This window comes from Homo sapiens, chromosome 3, assembly GCF_000001405.40.
Source record: "Homo sapiens chromosome 3, GRCh38.p14 Primary Assembly".
Lineage (NCBI taxonomy): Eukaryota > Metazoa > Chordata > Mammalia > Primates > Hominidae > Homo > Homo sapiens.
Genome location: NC_000003.12, coordinates 107,718,245 through 107,734,573, shown reverse-complemented (window position 1 = coordinate 107,734,573; position 16,329 = coordinate 107,718,245). Strand labels below are relative to the sequence as shown.

At 35.5% G+C, this 16,329-nt stretch overlaps 1 protein-coding gene across 29 annotated transcripts in view; it reads right to left on the bottom strand.

The window, feature by feature from the left end:
* Positions 1 to 16,329, bottom strand: part of BBX (BBX high mobility group box domain containing) — a 288,378-nt gene that overhangs the window by 76,766 nt on the left and 195,283 nt on the right. For all 29 annotated transcript variants that reach the window (XM_024453646.2, XM_011513001.3, XM_047448599.1 and 26 more), the window contains 2 exons: positions 5,614 to 5,809; positions 1,551 to 1,618 (listed from right to left, as the gene is read on the bottom strand). In XM_024453646.2, coding sequence (XP_024309414.1) covers positions 1,551 to 1,618; positions 5,614 to 5,809 — 264 coding nt within the window. The remainder of the gene's footprint in view (positions 1 to 1,550; positions 1,619 to 5,613; positions 5,810 to 16,329) is intronic.

Below are 16,329 nucleotides of genomic sequence, written 5' to 3'. Positions count from 1 at the left end.
TGAGTCAGACATGTTGAAAGGTCAAGTGCATATTATTAGTCCAACATTCACCTTTGGAACACGCTTGGGATACTCTACACCTAAGTGAGAGTTTGATTTGTTAAGAGGTAGCAGCAATGTGTTAGAAAGTGAAATGATGCCTGACAATGCTATTATGTTAGAAACTACAAACATGATGAATAATGAATATGCAAAGGCACAAAGTAACATGTATGTTTTTCCAGCTGAAGATTAGCACAAAGTAACTACCAGTGCATTTTTTACACATTTATACATTTCTTGCTACAATGAAGTGAACAGAATCAAAATAATTCTGTTAAATTGAATATATAGTCAACAATTGTGGATCCCAAATGTAAACTATAAAAAATAAAAACCTTTTATAATGTAAATAGGTTATTATCTAATTATATGTCTACAAAACCACTATTTGAATAGCCTTCAAGTATAATATGTATGACATAATCACAACTAAAAAACAAAAAGTAAAAAATATGACCCAAAATAAAATTGAGTCATTGCTATTTGGCCCTAAACAACAATTCTGGTTGGGGATTGAAAAATTTCCATCTCAAAAACCTGAGTGTGGTAAAATAACATGACCTGTAGGTTAATTCAATTGGCCTCTGTTAAATGTCTCTGGGAAATAGGGGAATTCTACAAATGCAGACTGTGCATGGTTAACTGCCACTACCTGCCCGTCAAAATCATACCTAAAAATGTTTAGCCAAAGCAGTCCAATAACTAGATCATGAAACCAAGGTCATGAAAGCCTAGGTCCTTTTTCCATTTTAAAGATTCAAACAGGCTGAGCACAGTGGCTCACATCTGTGATCCCAGAACTTTGGGAGGCTAAGACGCTTGAGCCCTGAAGTTCGAAACCAGTCTGAGCAACATGGCAAAACCCTGTCTCTACACAAAATACAAAAATTAGCTGGGCTTGGGGGCACATGCCTGTAGTCCAAGCCACCCAAAAGGCTGAGGTGAGAGAATCACCTGAGCCTGGGAGGTTGTGATCATGCCACTGCACTCCAGCCTGGGCAACAGAGTGAGACCCTGTCTCAAGGGGGGGTGGGAAAGAAGAATAAAACAATCCTGAAATGCCATGTTTCCTAATTTTCAAAACAGCTGTTTGGAATTATTCAGGTACCAGAGAGACTGACAGCTGCAAATTTTTAGCTATCATCTTTTCACTAGCATGTGAACATCACCCAAGCAGAGAATGTTTCGAATAAATGAATTACAGCACCCAACTGACATAACCATGACAGAGTCATGCAAACACCAGTGATCTATATATTGCATTACTACAACCTTACTTGTAGGTTCAGAAAACAACACCTGTGTTTACATCCTCATGGCCTTATTTACACCACTTTTTTTTTACACTCAACACACAAGACACACAGAAAGATCTTAAAGAGAAAGATTATAAAGTTTGTTCATGAGCTGTAAACAGTGAAAATGCAGAATGAACAACGTAAACAGACTATAACTGTGTTCCCAACCCACAGTATGAGCAGAGTGGAGACGGAAAAGGACTGGCTTACCTCTGGTGTGCCAAGAGCATGTTCTCCAGCTAACAGCAGCATACTCAGGCCTCCCATTTGAGTAGGATCTAAATAAGTCAAAAACAAATCACCAACTTATAAGCATAAAGTACATACAATCCACAGAGTCAAAAAGAATACTCATAAAGACTAGCAATCAGAAATCCAACAGAACCACATATAACTTTTTATAAAAACTTTTAAAAACTCTTTATGCAACAGTAACCTGGCATATATGTGCTTAGTGCTCATACTTTGTGAGCCTCTTGAATACCACTCTTGTCTCACCATTCCAACAACACTTTCTTCAATACCATTGCTGTTTGTAACATTAATTTATCTCCTAATGCAATGTTTCTTTCCTTACTGCTTAGGGAGTTTAGATAAGATTTTTTAAACAAAAGAATGTTTCTGTTTGTCTTCTGAGAAATTTTAGATTGTTATTCTCAAATTATTAATTCTGCCATGTGAAATCAGGACTAGTTTTAAAATAATAGGCTATCAGAGAACTAGAGAACAGAGAGAAGTTTTCAAATCAGGCCTGTAAAATCTGGTAGGTTTTATTCAAATAATCTTTCTTTACAGTTTTAAAAATAAATTTATATTAACTGATGTGTTTTTGACATTTTAAATCTTAGGGCATGTGTCAAACACATGCCCAAAATGCCTTCAAGGTATAAAATTAATGCTTTTTATGTTATCAAAGTCTTTGTTTTCACTATTTCAATAATCAATATAAACAGAGAAAATAAAAACAGCAAAGTGGTAGATCTATAACCCAGGTTGTATCTAAATAAAGAAAGCAGAATTGGGAACAGTGGCTCATGCCTGTAATCCCAGCACTTTGGGAGGCCAAGGCAGGAGGATCTCTTAATGTCAGGAGTTTGAGGCTACAGTGAGCTAAGATCGCAACACTGCACCCCAGGCCTGGATGACAGAGTGGGACCCTGTCTCTAAAAAATTAAATGAACAAATAGAAAATAAATAAAAACAAAGAAGTTATCAAAGAAAAGGCACCTGTGTCCTGTAAGTCTATCTTGAATTAAAATTCAGAAGTGTAATGAAAGAACATATGTAAAAATGCCTAACTCGGCATCTCTCCTAGTACATATAAGGTCCTCAACGTATATTTAATTTCAGGAATCTACAATTGAAAATGAGGATCAGTCAAAATGTTGCACAAAGAAATTCAGTTGTTTCTTTTCTTTTTCGGGTTGAAGATATGTCCTTAAGTACATCTTTGTATACAACCTGTCTTAGGAACTCATAAAGCAACTTTGACTATATGTTATCGACAGTTTTAAAAAAAAAATTGCAAAAAAAGTTCTGAGGTAGTAAAAAAAAGGGGCAGGGGTTGGGGGAAGAGGTTATTAGAGGAAAAACTATGTTACCAAAAGATCAGGGGGTCAAAAAATAGCTCAACATTGGAAGGCAGCCACATAGGAAGACATACACAGAGAATACACAGACAAACAGTAGCTAATTTGATGAAACAAAGCTCTTTGGTATTGTTTTGAGACTCCAACTTCAACTAAATGCTAAGTTTAAGAAATACTATGGCTGTTGAAATAGATACTTAAATCTACTTAAAAATCAAGAGAGGGAAATGAATTTAGTAGAAAGTAAAAGTTTAGTTTGGTTCTTTCAAAGAGAAATACTTTTGCAGCTGTCATCCTAGAGATCAGGAGGATTGGATGATAGCTTTCTAAAGATAAAAATGTGTTAGTTCAAATTACAAAGTAAAATAGGAACATGATTACGTGATAATTTATATACCAATGTGACTTTGCAAGAAGTTTGCTGTATAGATACTAAAACATAGGCCAAGAAATTACCAATATCCTTTATATTAATTCATACTTACATAAAGTTATTTAGAACTATCAAAAACATATTGACATACATAGGATGCTTTCTTTAGTGCAATTAAATGAAAGGGCTTGCACTAAATTACAATCTACACAGCTTTCCCTTCTTGGATATCATACATTTGGTAATTTGGGGTTATTCAAAATTGCAAAATGTCATGTGACAAGGACTACTGGGCAAGCAAAACAAAAGAGATTCCATATTGAGGTAAACAATCTGGCATTTAGAGGCCCTCTATTATCTCCTAGATTCAGATGTCTAGGCACCAGGATTTAATTAAAGACAAATTAGTTCGCTTTCATCTTGTTGAAAAGGAACATACCTGGAAATATCAGATCAATGTTATCCACTATATGCAAGCCTATCAAGAGTTCTGAACATGGATTTGCAACATATAACCCAAGCCATTACATAATGAGATAAATGCAAGGAAGGTGTTTTCCTTCTTTCCTGTACTTTCTTTTGAGAACACTGATCTTAAATACCGATCTGTAAAGATCTTGTTTGAAGTGTGGGTTCGACTTTCAATTTGCAGGTAAAAGGCAGATTAATAAAGTGTCAGAAACGGTGCTTCAAAAAAGATATCTTTCATAGCTTTCTGCAGTTCACCTACAATTGTTATATGGTTTGTGAAGAGCAGATGTATGCAAAAAAAAAAAAAGCCAACAACAACAACAACAAACTACATACCCTGGATCTAGACTGAGAATTGGGAGAAAAAGCAATGGATGTTACATGATGACCAAAGAAAATCAGCTGGAAGTCAGTTATCTATATACTCTTTCTGGGTTCTGATAATAAGATATGTTAGAAAGTACTCCAACTGATATAACCTGGGAAGTCCAGAAAACTCACCAAGACTATCTAATAACAAATGATTTGAAGCTAAAATTGTACAAAATTGACAGCTAAAGCAAGGACAAATAACTATGTCTGATTCTTCTGGGACATGTAGAAGCATCATTTTGGGAGCTTACTTAGAATTACACTACAGACACCCACATAGCAATCACCTGAATCCTTTTTTCCGCCCTAGAATGCTGCCATTATGTTAGACTTCATTTTTTAGAGGCAGGGTGTTGCTCTGTCGCCCAGGATGGAGTGCAGTCGTGAGGTCACAGCTCACTGCAGCCTCGAACTCCTGGACTCAAGTGATCCTCCCATCTCAGCCTCCCAAGTAGCCAGGACTATAGGCACATGCCACCATACAGGACTGATTAAAATAATATTTTTTGTAGATTATATAGAATACTGCCACATACTTTACATGGTATGAATCACACACTGAATCATAAAGTCTCGTTAAATTTATTGGTTATTCAAAAAAAAAGTGTTATCACAGTATCACTCAACCTCTTTTCCCAACCTTTCCATATGCAAATAGTTCAATACTCTGCTTTGGAAGAAAATTTGCTTCTAATACCAAAATAGGAACCCTGTAGCTCAATTGCAACTTCACTGCCTTTCTCCTGCTCAATCTGCTAATTTCATCTGGCAAACTCATCTTTTGATTACTGCACTGTAATAGCTAAGAAAGACAGAGCCCACTTGTAGGGTGAATATAAGTACTTTATTTCATGGTAATAAATGATTTAGCATACCTTACCACCCAAAGAGTACTAAAGGTCCCATAACAAATGGCACCATCTGGAATTTTAAATTTGTCTGTCCCATACAAGAATGGACATGAGAGGAGACAGACAGGATGGGAATTCTCTCTAAGACACAGCTATCAGGTCCAATCTCAGATTTGTGATGTACTTGTTCATATTCTTGCCCTCAATGTTTCCAACACCCAGATGATCTACATGACTGTAGCTGTTTAAGTAGCATGATAACTAAGGTGCATCCTGGGATGGCTTACTAGTGTGTATGTGTGTGTGTAAGCTATTTTGTGAACATAAAATTTCCTAAGCTTCTGACAATCTCCATGTTGCTGTCTACTTTTCCATACTGTCAATGTCAGGAATTCACATATATTTATAATGACACTACCACTGAGGCCATATATCCTTTTTTAAATTACCTGTATTCTATATATATCATGATCCAATGCTTGAAAATATGCTATATCTTTGCCACTGCTTAATATTGGTTATAAATTTTGTCCCCCCGCCCTCAGTATTGTTTAAAATGCTGCCGAAATGTATTGCCCTGTCCTTAAAGAATAGGTGGAAATAGTGTCTCAACTCACCAGCCATTCCAAAGTTAAGCTGAGGCATTTCTTCAGTCTTTGCTTTCTTGGGGCTTGGCAAGTCTCTTGAAGAGTCAGATGGGAAGGCCCAAAGTTTCTTTCGTGGATTGACAGTGGGTGTTGGGGATTTCACAGGCTTGTTTGTGGTAGGACACCATTTGTAGCCAGGATTTGCTTTCATAAATGCATCCTTATACTATAAATAAAACGACAGACAGCAGATTTTAATTAACAAATAGATTGAAAAAGTTCTAAAGGCTGTCACCCCATTCCCCTATTTAGATACCAAGTGAGAAAAACAATTTCAGTGACTTCTGTGGCTCTCCTTGTAGAAGAATGACAATCTCAGCATAGGGTTCTAGAGATAGGACATGGAGTTATCTAATCCATTTGTGGGATAAGGATTCAGAAGCTGTATACTTTGTGTTATTTAATCCTCAACTTTAAAAAATAGTATCCAAAAAGCTTTCTGACCTCGGTGGGGAAAGGGAGTTGTTTATAATGGAATGAGCCTAGGGCTCTGGAGACAGAAGCAGGTTCAAACCCTCAAACTTCCACTTAGGGCTACAGTAACCAAGAGAAGGTAGCTTCTCTGGGCCTCAACCTTAGATTCCATAAACTGAGAATAATACCACCAGTGCCTAGGGTTATTGGAAGCAGTGGTGCATAGCACATCACTCATATCTTTAGCTAGCTGTAGACATTAAGCAAGTTGTTAAACCTTTCTCAGCCTCAATTCCTCTACTTATAAAGTGTAACCACACTTGCCACCATGCCAGGGGTCTGTAATGAGCATACATAACTGAATGGATAAATAAGCTCTAAGAGCACTGATATGTGATGTTGCAATAATCCATCACAAATTTTGTCTTACTTGGAGGTTTCAACCTTCACTGACAACATCTTTCTCCTTCATTTTTCTGTGGCTTGCTCCTGTTACCGTTTCTCTCAATTCTGCTACCTCTTATCTCTTGCATGACAATAACGTGAAACAAAATACATTTATTGCTATTCGTTACATATTTCCAAAAGTTATCTGTTAAGAATGTATTTTCCACATATTCTTCAATTTTTATTATTGCTAGACATTTTATTAAATTAATATTCATTCAATCCCATAAGCTTGCCTTTTAAAATGGTAACTTAATGTGTGACATGAACTAACTATAACTTCCAAACAGCTTTTAATTTTACCCAATAGTTTGAAAAAGGTCCTTTATCCTTGCTATATACTTTCCTTATACCAAGGATATACTTTTTTTCTATCATTTCCCTTTAAATCATATAAATGAAAACTGTAATATAGATAATTATGCAATGTTAATTGACAATGGTGTAGAATTATTTCACATTATCTTAACTCAAAGTTTCTGAATAATCCATTTTTTTACCTGTAAGATATATATGCCTATTGATACATGGATACATGTAGAAGGAAGGTAAGCATAAAAAACTGTAGAATACAGTCCCATTTTTCTTACAAAAATAATTAAAGTTGGACACAAGGCCAAACTAGAATTCACCATCAAAAAGCAGAACGTGTTAGGAGGTATCAACTGTGATACAAGAGACACACTACCACAGTGCATTCATGTGCATGAGGGATTTACATATTAAGCTGAGGCAGACAAATAGCTTTGCCTGCTGTCTGGAAGTGGAAAGTGACAAATGGTAGGGTGAGGTGAAAATGGAAGTAGCAGACACATGCATCATTATCGTGTCCCAGTAAAAGCACACGGGCCGGGTTTGTCAGATGAACAGTCACTTGAACAAAGGTCACCACTTTATAAAGTGTCAAAAGACTTTCAAACAAATTGATTAACATATTTGTCATGAGAAATAAAATTATCTATTTTTTTTGGGGGGGGTAGTTTAAAATTTTTAAGAAGAAAGTCATAATTGTGAAAAATGCTAGACAGGTGTCACCAGAATGATTGCCAGCATCAACCAATTTTAAAGCACCAATCATACCAATAGAGTCCAGCTTAAACTAATTTACAATGGGGAGCTGGTGCTGAAAATCACATAGAGCAGTTATAATCACCACATCCTAATTTCTCTTGCATGTATTCCACTCACCTATCCACATCTCAAATATTCTGTGAGCACTGACTAGATGACAGAAACTTGCCAGACATTGGGGAGAGAGAAGAGTATGAATTAGATAGAGTCCCTGTCTTCATATTGCTTACAGTCCACAGTTTACTACATAAATACATTATTTCTTTTTACACATGGTCCATAAAGCTGGACCATGGCTTCCCCTGGCTCGGGCAGGAAAAATGCTTTCACAATGGATCTGCAAAAGGGCTAACTACCTATATGAGTGGAGTAACAGAGAGCAAGAGAAAGGCCGGGAATACGTGGGGTTTTATGGAAAACAATAACAGAATTTACTATGAGGGTCAACACTCTGTAACTGTATCACAATATTATTCTTGCAGATTCTTAAACTCAATGTAGATGTTCAAAACCACGTTCATTAGTTCCATCAAGTATAAATTGAGTGGAAGAGTTAAGAACGTGAGAGATAGAGAACAGAATAACACACAGTCTTTGTCCTTAAGGAGTTTAAAGTTTAGATAGAGATGCCATCAATTCATGTAAAAACACAAGTTAACACAAGCAGTATATGAGCATCAAGGGAGGGTGGAGGTGGGAAGAGCCTCAGGGTATGAGGATGTCTATCTGTTCTCGGAAGTTGGCACTTCATCAATCACTCGCTCTGATTTAGCTAAAAGACAATAGTAGAAAGGCTTAATCATTTGTTGTGATGAGATTATTAGGAGAAGGCTGGGTAAGGGACAAATGGGGGAAGACTCTGTATACTCCTCTGAAGCGAACAGCTGAGTGAACTTATTAGCATGCCGTTCAATCATGTAGGCAAAATCCCTCATTACAGGACTGAAAAGGCCTAAGAGACAGGCCCCAGATATCCAAGGCCAGACTGTTCATACTGATGGTGGGAGGAGAAGCTCACTTATCCTCCGAAAACATCAGAAAAGCTATTGCTCCTAAGATTTCAATGGAAGACTCTCTCAGATAACAACATTTTTGTTAAAAATACTGATTTTCAAAATTCTCCCATTAAATGAAAATTCACCTCATGGCTTCCAATTTATTTCTGCAAATTTCCAACCAATTAGATGAGGTAAGGGAATCCTACTTTGCAGTAGACACATAGTTCCTGACTTACATGTGGTGCTTGGTAAATGCTGGATCCCTTCCCTCAGGCCCTATCCACTACCATGTTTCCGTAGCAAGAATAATACATTAGAAATCCTGCTACTGATTTTACTGTTATTTAGCATTGGCATCAAATACCCTTTGTCACAGTATTTTGTCTACTTAATATTTGACAAGGGCATTTTTATGTGACAAAAGACAATATTCTGTCAATCTTTTAAAAATGGAGCCTCAACATTACTTTTCCAGATCATTTACAAAAAACTGGAAGCATTCCCTTTGAAAACTGGCACAAGACAGGGATGCCCTCTCTCACCATTCCTATTCAACATAGTGTTGGAAGTTCTGGCCAGGGCAATCAGGCAGGAGAAAGAAATAAAGGGTATTCAATTAGGAAAAGAGGAAGTCAAATTGTCCCTATTTGCAGATGACATGATTGTATATCTAGAAAACCCCATTGTCTCAGCCCAAAATCTCCTTAAGCTGATAAGCAACTTCAGCAAAGTCTCAGGATACAAAATCAATGTGCAAAAATTACAAGCATTCTTATACACCAATAACAGACAAACAGAGAGCCAAATCATGAGTGAACTCCCCTTCACAACTGCTTCAAAGAGAATAAAATACCTAGCAATCCAACTTACAAGGGATGTGAAGGACCTCTTCAAGGAGAACTACAAATCACTGCTCAGTGAAATAAAAGAGGATACAAACAAATGGAAGAACATTCCATGCTCATGGGTAGGAATAATCAATATCGTGAAAATGGCCATACTGCCCAAGGTAATTTACAGATTCAATGCGATCCCTATCAAGCTACCAATGCCTTTCTTCACAGAATTGGAAAAAACTACTTTAAAGTTCATATGGCACCAAAAAGGAACCCGCATTGCCAAGTCAATCCTAAGCAAAAAGAACAAAGCTGGAGGCATCACGCTACCTGACTTCAAACTATACTACAAGGCTACAGTAACCAAAACAGCATGGTACTGGTACCAAAACAGAGATATAGACCAATGGAACAGAACAGAGCCCTCAGAAATAATACCACACATCTACAACTATCTGATCTTTGACAAACCTGAGAAAAACAAGAAATGGGGAAAGGATTCCCTATTTAACAAATGGTGCTGGGAAAACTGGCTAGCCATATGTAGAAAGCTGAAACTGGATCCCTTCCTTACACCTTATACAAAAATCAATTCAAGATGGATTAAAGACTTACATGTTAGAACTGAAACCATAAAAACCCTAGAAGAAAACCTAGGCAATAGCATTCAGGACATAGGCATGGGCAAGGACTTCATGTCTAAAACACCAAAAGCAATGGCAACAAAAGACAAAATTGACAAATGGGATCTAATTAAACTAAAGAGCTTCTGCACAGCAAAAGAAACTACCATCAGAGTGAACAGGCAACCTACAGAATGGGAGAAAATTTTTGCAATCTACTCATCTGACAAAGGGCTCATATCCAGAATCTACAATGAACTCAAACAAATTTACAAGAAAAAAACAACCCCATCAAAAAGTGGGCAAAGGATATGAACAGACACTTCTCAAAAGAAGACATTTATGCAGCCAACAGACACATGAAAAAATGCTCACCATCACTGGCCATCAGAGAAATGCAAATCAAAACCACAATGAGATACCATCTCACACCAGTTACAATGGCAATCATTAAAAAGTCAGGAAACAACAGGTGCTGGATAGGATATGGAGAAATAGGAACACTTTTACACTGTTGGTGGGACTGTAAACTAGTTCATCCATTGTGGAAGACAGTGTGGCGATTCCTCAAGGATCTAGAACTGGAAATACCATTTGACCCAGCCATCCCATTACTGGGTATATACCCAAAGGAATATAAATCGTGCTGCTATAAAGACACATGCACACATATGTTTATTGCGGCAATACTCACAATAGCAAAGACTTGGAACCAACCCAAATGTCCAACAATGATAGTCTGGATTAAGAAAATGTGGCACATATACACCATGGAATACTATGCAGCCATAAAAAAGGATGAGTTCATGTCCTTTGTAGGGACATGGATGAAGCTGGAAACCATCATTCTCAGCAAACTATCACAAGGACAAAAAAACAAATACCTCATGTTCTCACTCATAGGTGAGAATTGAACAATGAGAACACTTGGAAACAGGAAGGGGAACATCACACACCGGGGCCTGTTGTGGGGTGGGGAGAGGCAGGAGGGATAGCATTAGGAGATATACCTAATGTAAATGACAAGTTAATGGGTGCAGCACACCAACATGACACATGTATACATATGTAACAAACCTGCACATTGTGCACATGTACACTAGAACTTAAAGTATAATAAAAAAAATTAAAAAAATAAAATAAAAATGGAGTCTCAACATTACTTTTCCAGATCATTTACAAAAAAATGCAAATTTGATGAACAAAAGCACTTTAATTTTAATAAAAGATAGACTTACCAACTGTTCTCCGTTTGCCTGTTTTTAACTGGGAGGAGGTGCTATCTAAAAGTCCACTAGTATTTCCAGTTATTATTACAGTCTAGATCTTTTCAATAGGGTGAAAGAGAAGTGGCAACCCTAGTGAGATTCAGTCAGGAGGGACCCAGAGAATGTCTGTATAATTAATAAAGATAGACGACTCTGGTGCAAATATATGAAGTATCATCTACCAAAATTGTGAAAAAGAGATTAAACTAGAAAATTATTGGATTTTTTAGAAAGAGATATAACAAATGTTTTACTGTATAATCATATATGCAATAGAGGGCTAAGTGAATATCTAGCATAATAAATTCTGAGACAGCTGTTTCTCTTCCCATCCACGAGCAGAAATTACATTATACAAGGGTGGAAGAAGAGAAGGAATTATCTGATAAGTGGTACTAATCTGTTACTTCCTTAGTTTGAGGACCTTTCCTTCATAAAAATTTAAAAATTATCGTTAGGATAATATAACTCAATGCATTATCTGATCTGAATTATTCTTGCTAGCTGTTTTTAACAGAAAAAAAATTAGACTATTTCACTGACAGAAAATTGAATTAAATTTATGGTTTGACTGAACAATATTTTAAGTTCTACATTAAACCTGCAAAACTTTCATAATAAAGCCACTCCAACAGAAATTATACACTTGAAAAAGTGGTTTGAATATGTGACCAGGAAATTATTTGCTTGTTGTGTTGTGGAAATGTCATAAATGAAAATTTGAAAGCAAGGAAACTGGCTACTTCATTTGGCTATAAGGGCGAAAATTATTATGGCAATAGTAGTTTTTTTACAAGTATAATTTTACTCTTTAATTTGAGTAATTACCAGAAGAGTCAGTTTAATCAGTGTGCACTAATTTTAAAAGCTGAAATTTCAGAATTTATTTAAAAATATAATTTTACTACTTTTAAAAAGGTGGACAGTGATCTGTCTACTAAGATCTGTCAATCTAAAAATTAACATCTGAAACCAAATACCAAAATGAGTTTTGAGAGACGCAGTTTAAATTCTCAATTTATTATTCCCTAGTTATGGAGTTTTTATAGTCTTTATAAATTTATTTGAATATTTAAATACAAGTGTTTACTTAACAATTGGCAAATGGACTAATATTTCAAAATCAAATAGTTCACTTAATTAACATCTATGTTGCTAGAGGCTATTAATAACACTGGACAGTATTGGCCAAATTGGGCAAATGATATTTTTAGTTTTGTTCATTTTTGTGTTTCAAAGACTGATTTTGCATTTTAGTAGCCCTTCAATGTATTAACAGTTCATAATAAAAATAATAATCATTTAGATAGAGAAGTATGAAACAGAAACCAACATAAAGCTGCTTATCAGAAATAACCCTAAAACCAACATTTGTATAGAGTTTTAAACTTTATGTAATGCTTGTACATATATTTCCTTATTTGTATCTTACATAAACTCTGTGAGGGCAGGCATCTTAATTGCCATTTTACAGATGTGGCAATTCAAAACAGTATGAGAAGGGAGGTTAAATGAGTTAGAATTTAATAATTTAACTTAATAAAATGAGTTTATAAACATTTAAATGTTTATAAAAGAACCTGGACATGATACAGCAATATTCACAAAGTTATTATCATTCCAAAAGCAAACATCTGAATATTTCTTTAAACACAGTAAGAAAGTTCTAATATCTGGAACACAGGAATGGAAAAGGTCTCAGAAGCAAGGAATGTTGTGAAACACAAACCACACATCTTTAGGTTTACTATCTATATTCCACAAATGTGGTGGGGCCCCTAATTAAACCATACTCAAAAAGTGTAAGCCATTTGATTAGAAGTAGCCAAAAGGGGCTGACGGAGGAGAGAAATGGCAAGTGCTAGCTGAGGGTGGAACCCCCAACCCCTGCAAAAAAAACAAAACAAAACAAAAAACAAAACAACTATGGAAAAGCAGAGAGGAAATTCAAGGAATAAAATAGTTGAGAATTACTATATAGACAAAACATTATTCACAAAAGTCTCACAAAGTCACAGATCATAAAGTGATTCCTGTGGAAATAGTGTGTTAAAGGTTTCAAAAAACAGTCAAAAGATGTTCTGAATGCTTTGAGAAAGTATGTAAACAAAATTTTAATGAAATTTCTAGGATAAATATATAAAATAAAAGTTTTTAAAAGAAGAGTAAAGTTTCATCTATGTGGAAATCACTTAGGTATAGCAGCTGTTTCTCAGAATGCTGGATAAATGAGGTGCTACTCTAATAGTAGGCAAAGTGCTATATAGCATGCTTGCAAGAATACAAATTATACTATTTGTTAAGCATGATGCATAACAGTTAAGAAAAGTTCTCCAGATTATAACAGAAGAGTAAATGAGAGAGTATTTTCTTTGGAAAAGAGTCCATATCTGATGAACCCAAAATAAGGGAATGAATGGTCTTTACAAAAATTATCCCAGCTGAAAATAAATAATCAAAAATAGATTCATTTTGTCTTGAAGAAATATGAAAGAACTAGTCAATAAAAAACCCATGGAGTTTTGTGGCAGTGAAAACCTTTCCCAGAGTATTGACAAAAATAGATACCAACACTTTCAAAGGGCCATTATAGTTCACCTTCAAGTTGCATTTTATTACATTTAATTCCATAGCTGTTTTATTGGCATACAGCTGAACCTCCAAACTTTTAAGTCTGGTCTCTCGTGGTTTTTGCCTTATTTACCTTTGTATCATCATTTTCTGTTACTCTTCTATGTATAACCTAGGCTCCAGGTGAAACAAACTATCTGGTTCCTGAAATTGATTTCAGTTTCCCACTTCTACTCTTACCCTTTTCCTTCTCTCTGAATCCTTATACAAAAACCCAGGCCAAATTCTGCCTACTTTATAAAGGCTTTCCTGATCCACTTCCACCCACTTCCCTCCCCAGCACAAGCAGATTCTTCCTGTAAGACTCATGACATTTTATTGTTATCATTCTTGCCATAATTACCCAAATATACTTCTCTTTCAGGCATCTAAAGTGGGTAGGTTGCTATACGTATTAGAAGAACACACAGGAGTCAAATGGGAAAGAATAACCCAGCTCCACTGTATACTGAATGTATGGTTGGTCAAGACACTAACTCCTTCAGAGCCTTAGATTCCTGCTCTGAAGAATGGGAATAATCATAACTCACTTTACAGGTTGGTGCTTACTTTATATGCTAAGCACAAAAAGGACCAATCAATCAATAAATGCACACATTCTGCCTCATGCCTCTGATGCTAAAACAGTGGGTATGATAAAGGTCATTCAAATTGTTTAAGCTTTCCAAATCCTCCCCTCCTCTTTGTACTCTGTTCTAGCTGAAGTTCAAGATGTGTGATCCTCTCAATTTATCCTCAATTCATTATGATAATTAGTTTAAATGACAAATAGAAGGTTCCAGCAGTATTGCAGGCAAAAATGCAGAGATTTGTATTCCTGTAAGAGCACATACATGAAGATGTTAAAAGGAAAGATATAATTGTTTTGTATCTCCTAACGGGCAGTCACACATTCAAAAATTAGAACCTGTGAACATCCACAACATTGCACATCATGTACATTACTGAATTTAAGAAAGCAACCCAGGTTGTATTCTTAGAATAGTCTTTTAAAATTTACTAATGAATTATTGCTCTAGTAAGGTTCATCAGAGAACACAAAATGTGCAATCAGCCTTTTTTTCCAGCAATGCAAATTAGCACTGGGCAATAATTTAAGAAACTAAAAACAAATCCCAGAACAGGTGCTTTGTCTTACCAGATGCAATAAGATAATCAGGAGGAAGGAAAGGGGTCAGAGGAAATTTTCATGAACAGGTAAACAAACAATCCTTTCAAAATTGTATTATTACTCACTCTTGCTTTTAAAATATACTTCTTTTAAAAACAACAAGAAAAAGGAAACATTTCTCACTCAACTGATAATGGCAGGACAGATACTGGCAAATACCACCTAAGCATTCACATCCACATCCACACACTATGCTGAAAGAATCTGTCTTGCACCCTAATGGACAACGTCTAAAATTTGAGGTTTAAAATTTAAACGTTACACATCTAAAAAGAGTTTTAAAAATGATTGTGTGTTGGGGGAGCCTTGAAAAACAGACCATATTTATCAACAGCCTTGTATCACTAGCAACTATCACAAAACCTGGTTAAATTGAAGGCACTTATTAAGTATTTGTTCACTGAACTAACATTCCAGTTAAGGCTGCAATATTAACACAAAAAGCACCAGCACAATTACCTGCCCTTTAACGTAACTGCAAAACCATTTAGAAAGTAAGATGAAACAAGTAGGAATCACTTACGACTAGAGATCAATTGTGTAATAATTTTGAAAGTAGCCGAATCTTCTACACTTTGCAGTAGAAATGAGGCAACATTTCCTAACAGCAACTACAAACAAGGCAAATTATAACGTGGAACATCCAGTTATAGTCTCCACACTTAGACTGCACTGGGCTACCTTAACAGATTTCATTTTAGTGCCACATTGGCAAATATTGTGAACCTAATTAAGTAATTAGTAAGGGATTTCCTGTATGAAACTAATACTTCCTTTTCTTAAAAGTGGCCACCTATTGGGTTTGTAAATTAGGAGTTTTTAAGAAAAAACAAACAATATTCTGGGGACAGGCTGCATGTTATCCAAAAACAGCAATCTAAAACAAACTCAAGTATTTAATTATAGGAAGCTTATGCATTTCCCTATGAGGTTTCAGATAATTATTTATTTTACTATATAAGCATGACTATGAAAAATGTAAGGCTATTTAATGGGAAAGTTTTACTGTTAATTACTGTTACGCTATGGAAATCTAATGAAATATTTAAAATCATGTAGGTTACTGTAATTGATTTCAAATTTTCCACAGGCCCTATATAGTTAAAATCCTGTCTTTAACAGTCAATTTTTGAAGTCTTGTATGATTAATTATATAATTATTATAATTATATTAATACTATTATAATTAACAATCATATTATAATCATTAATACTATTATAATAGTT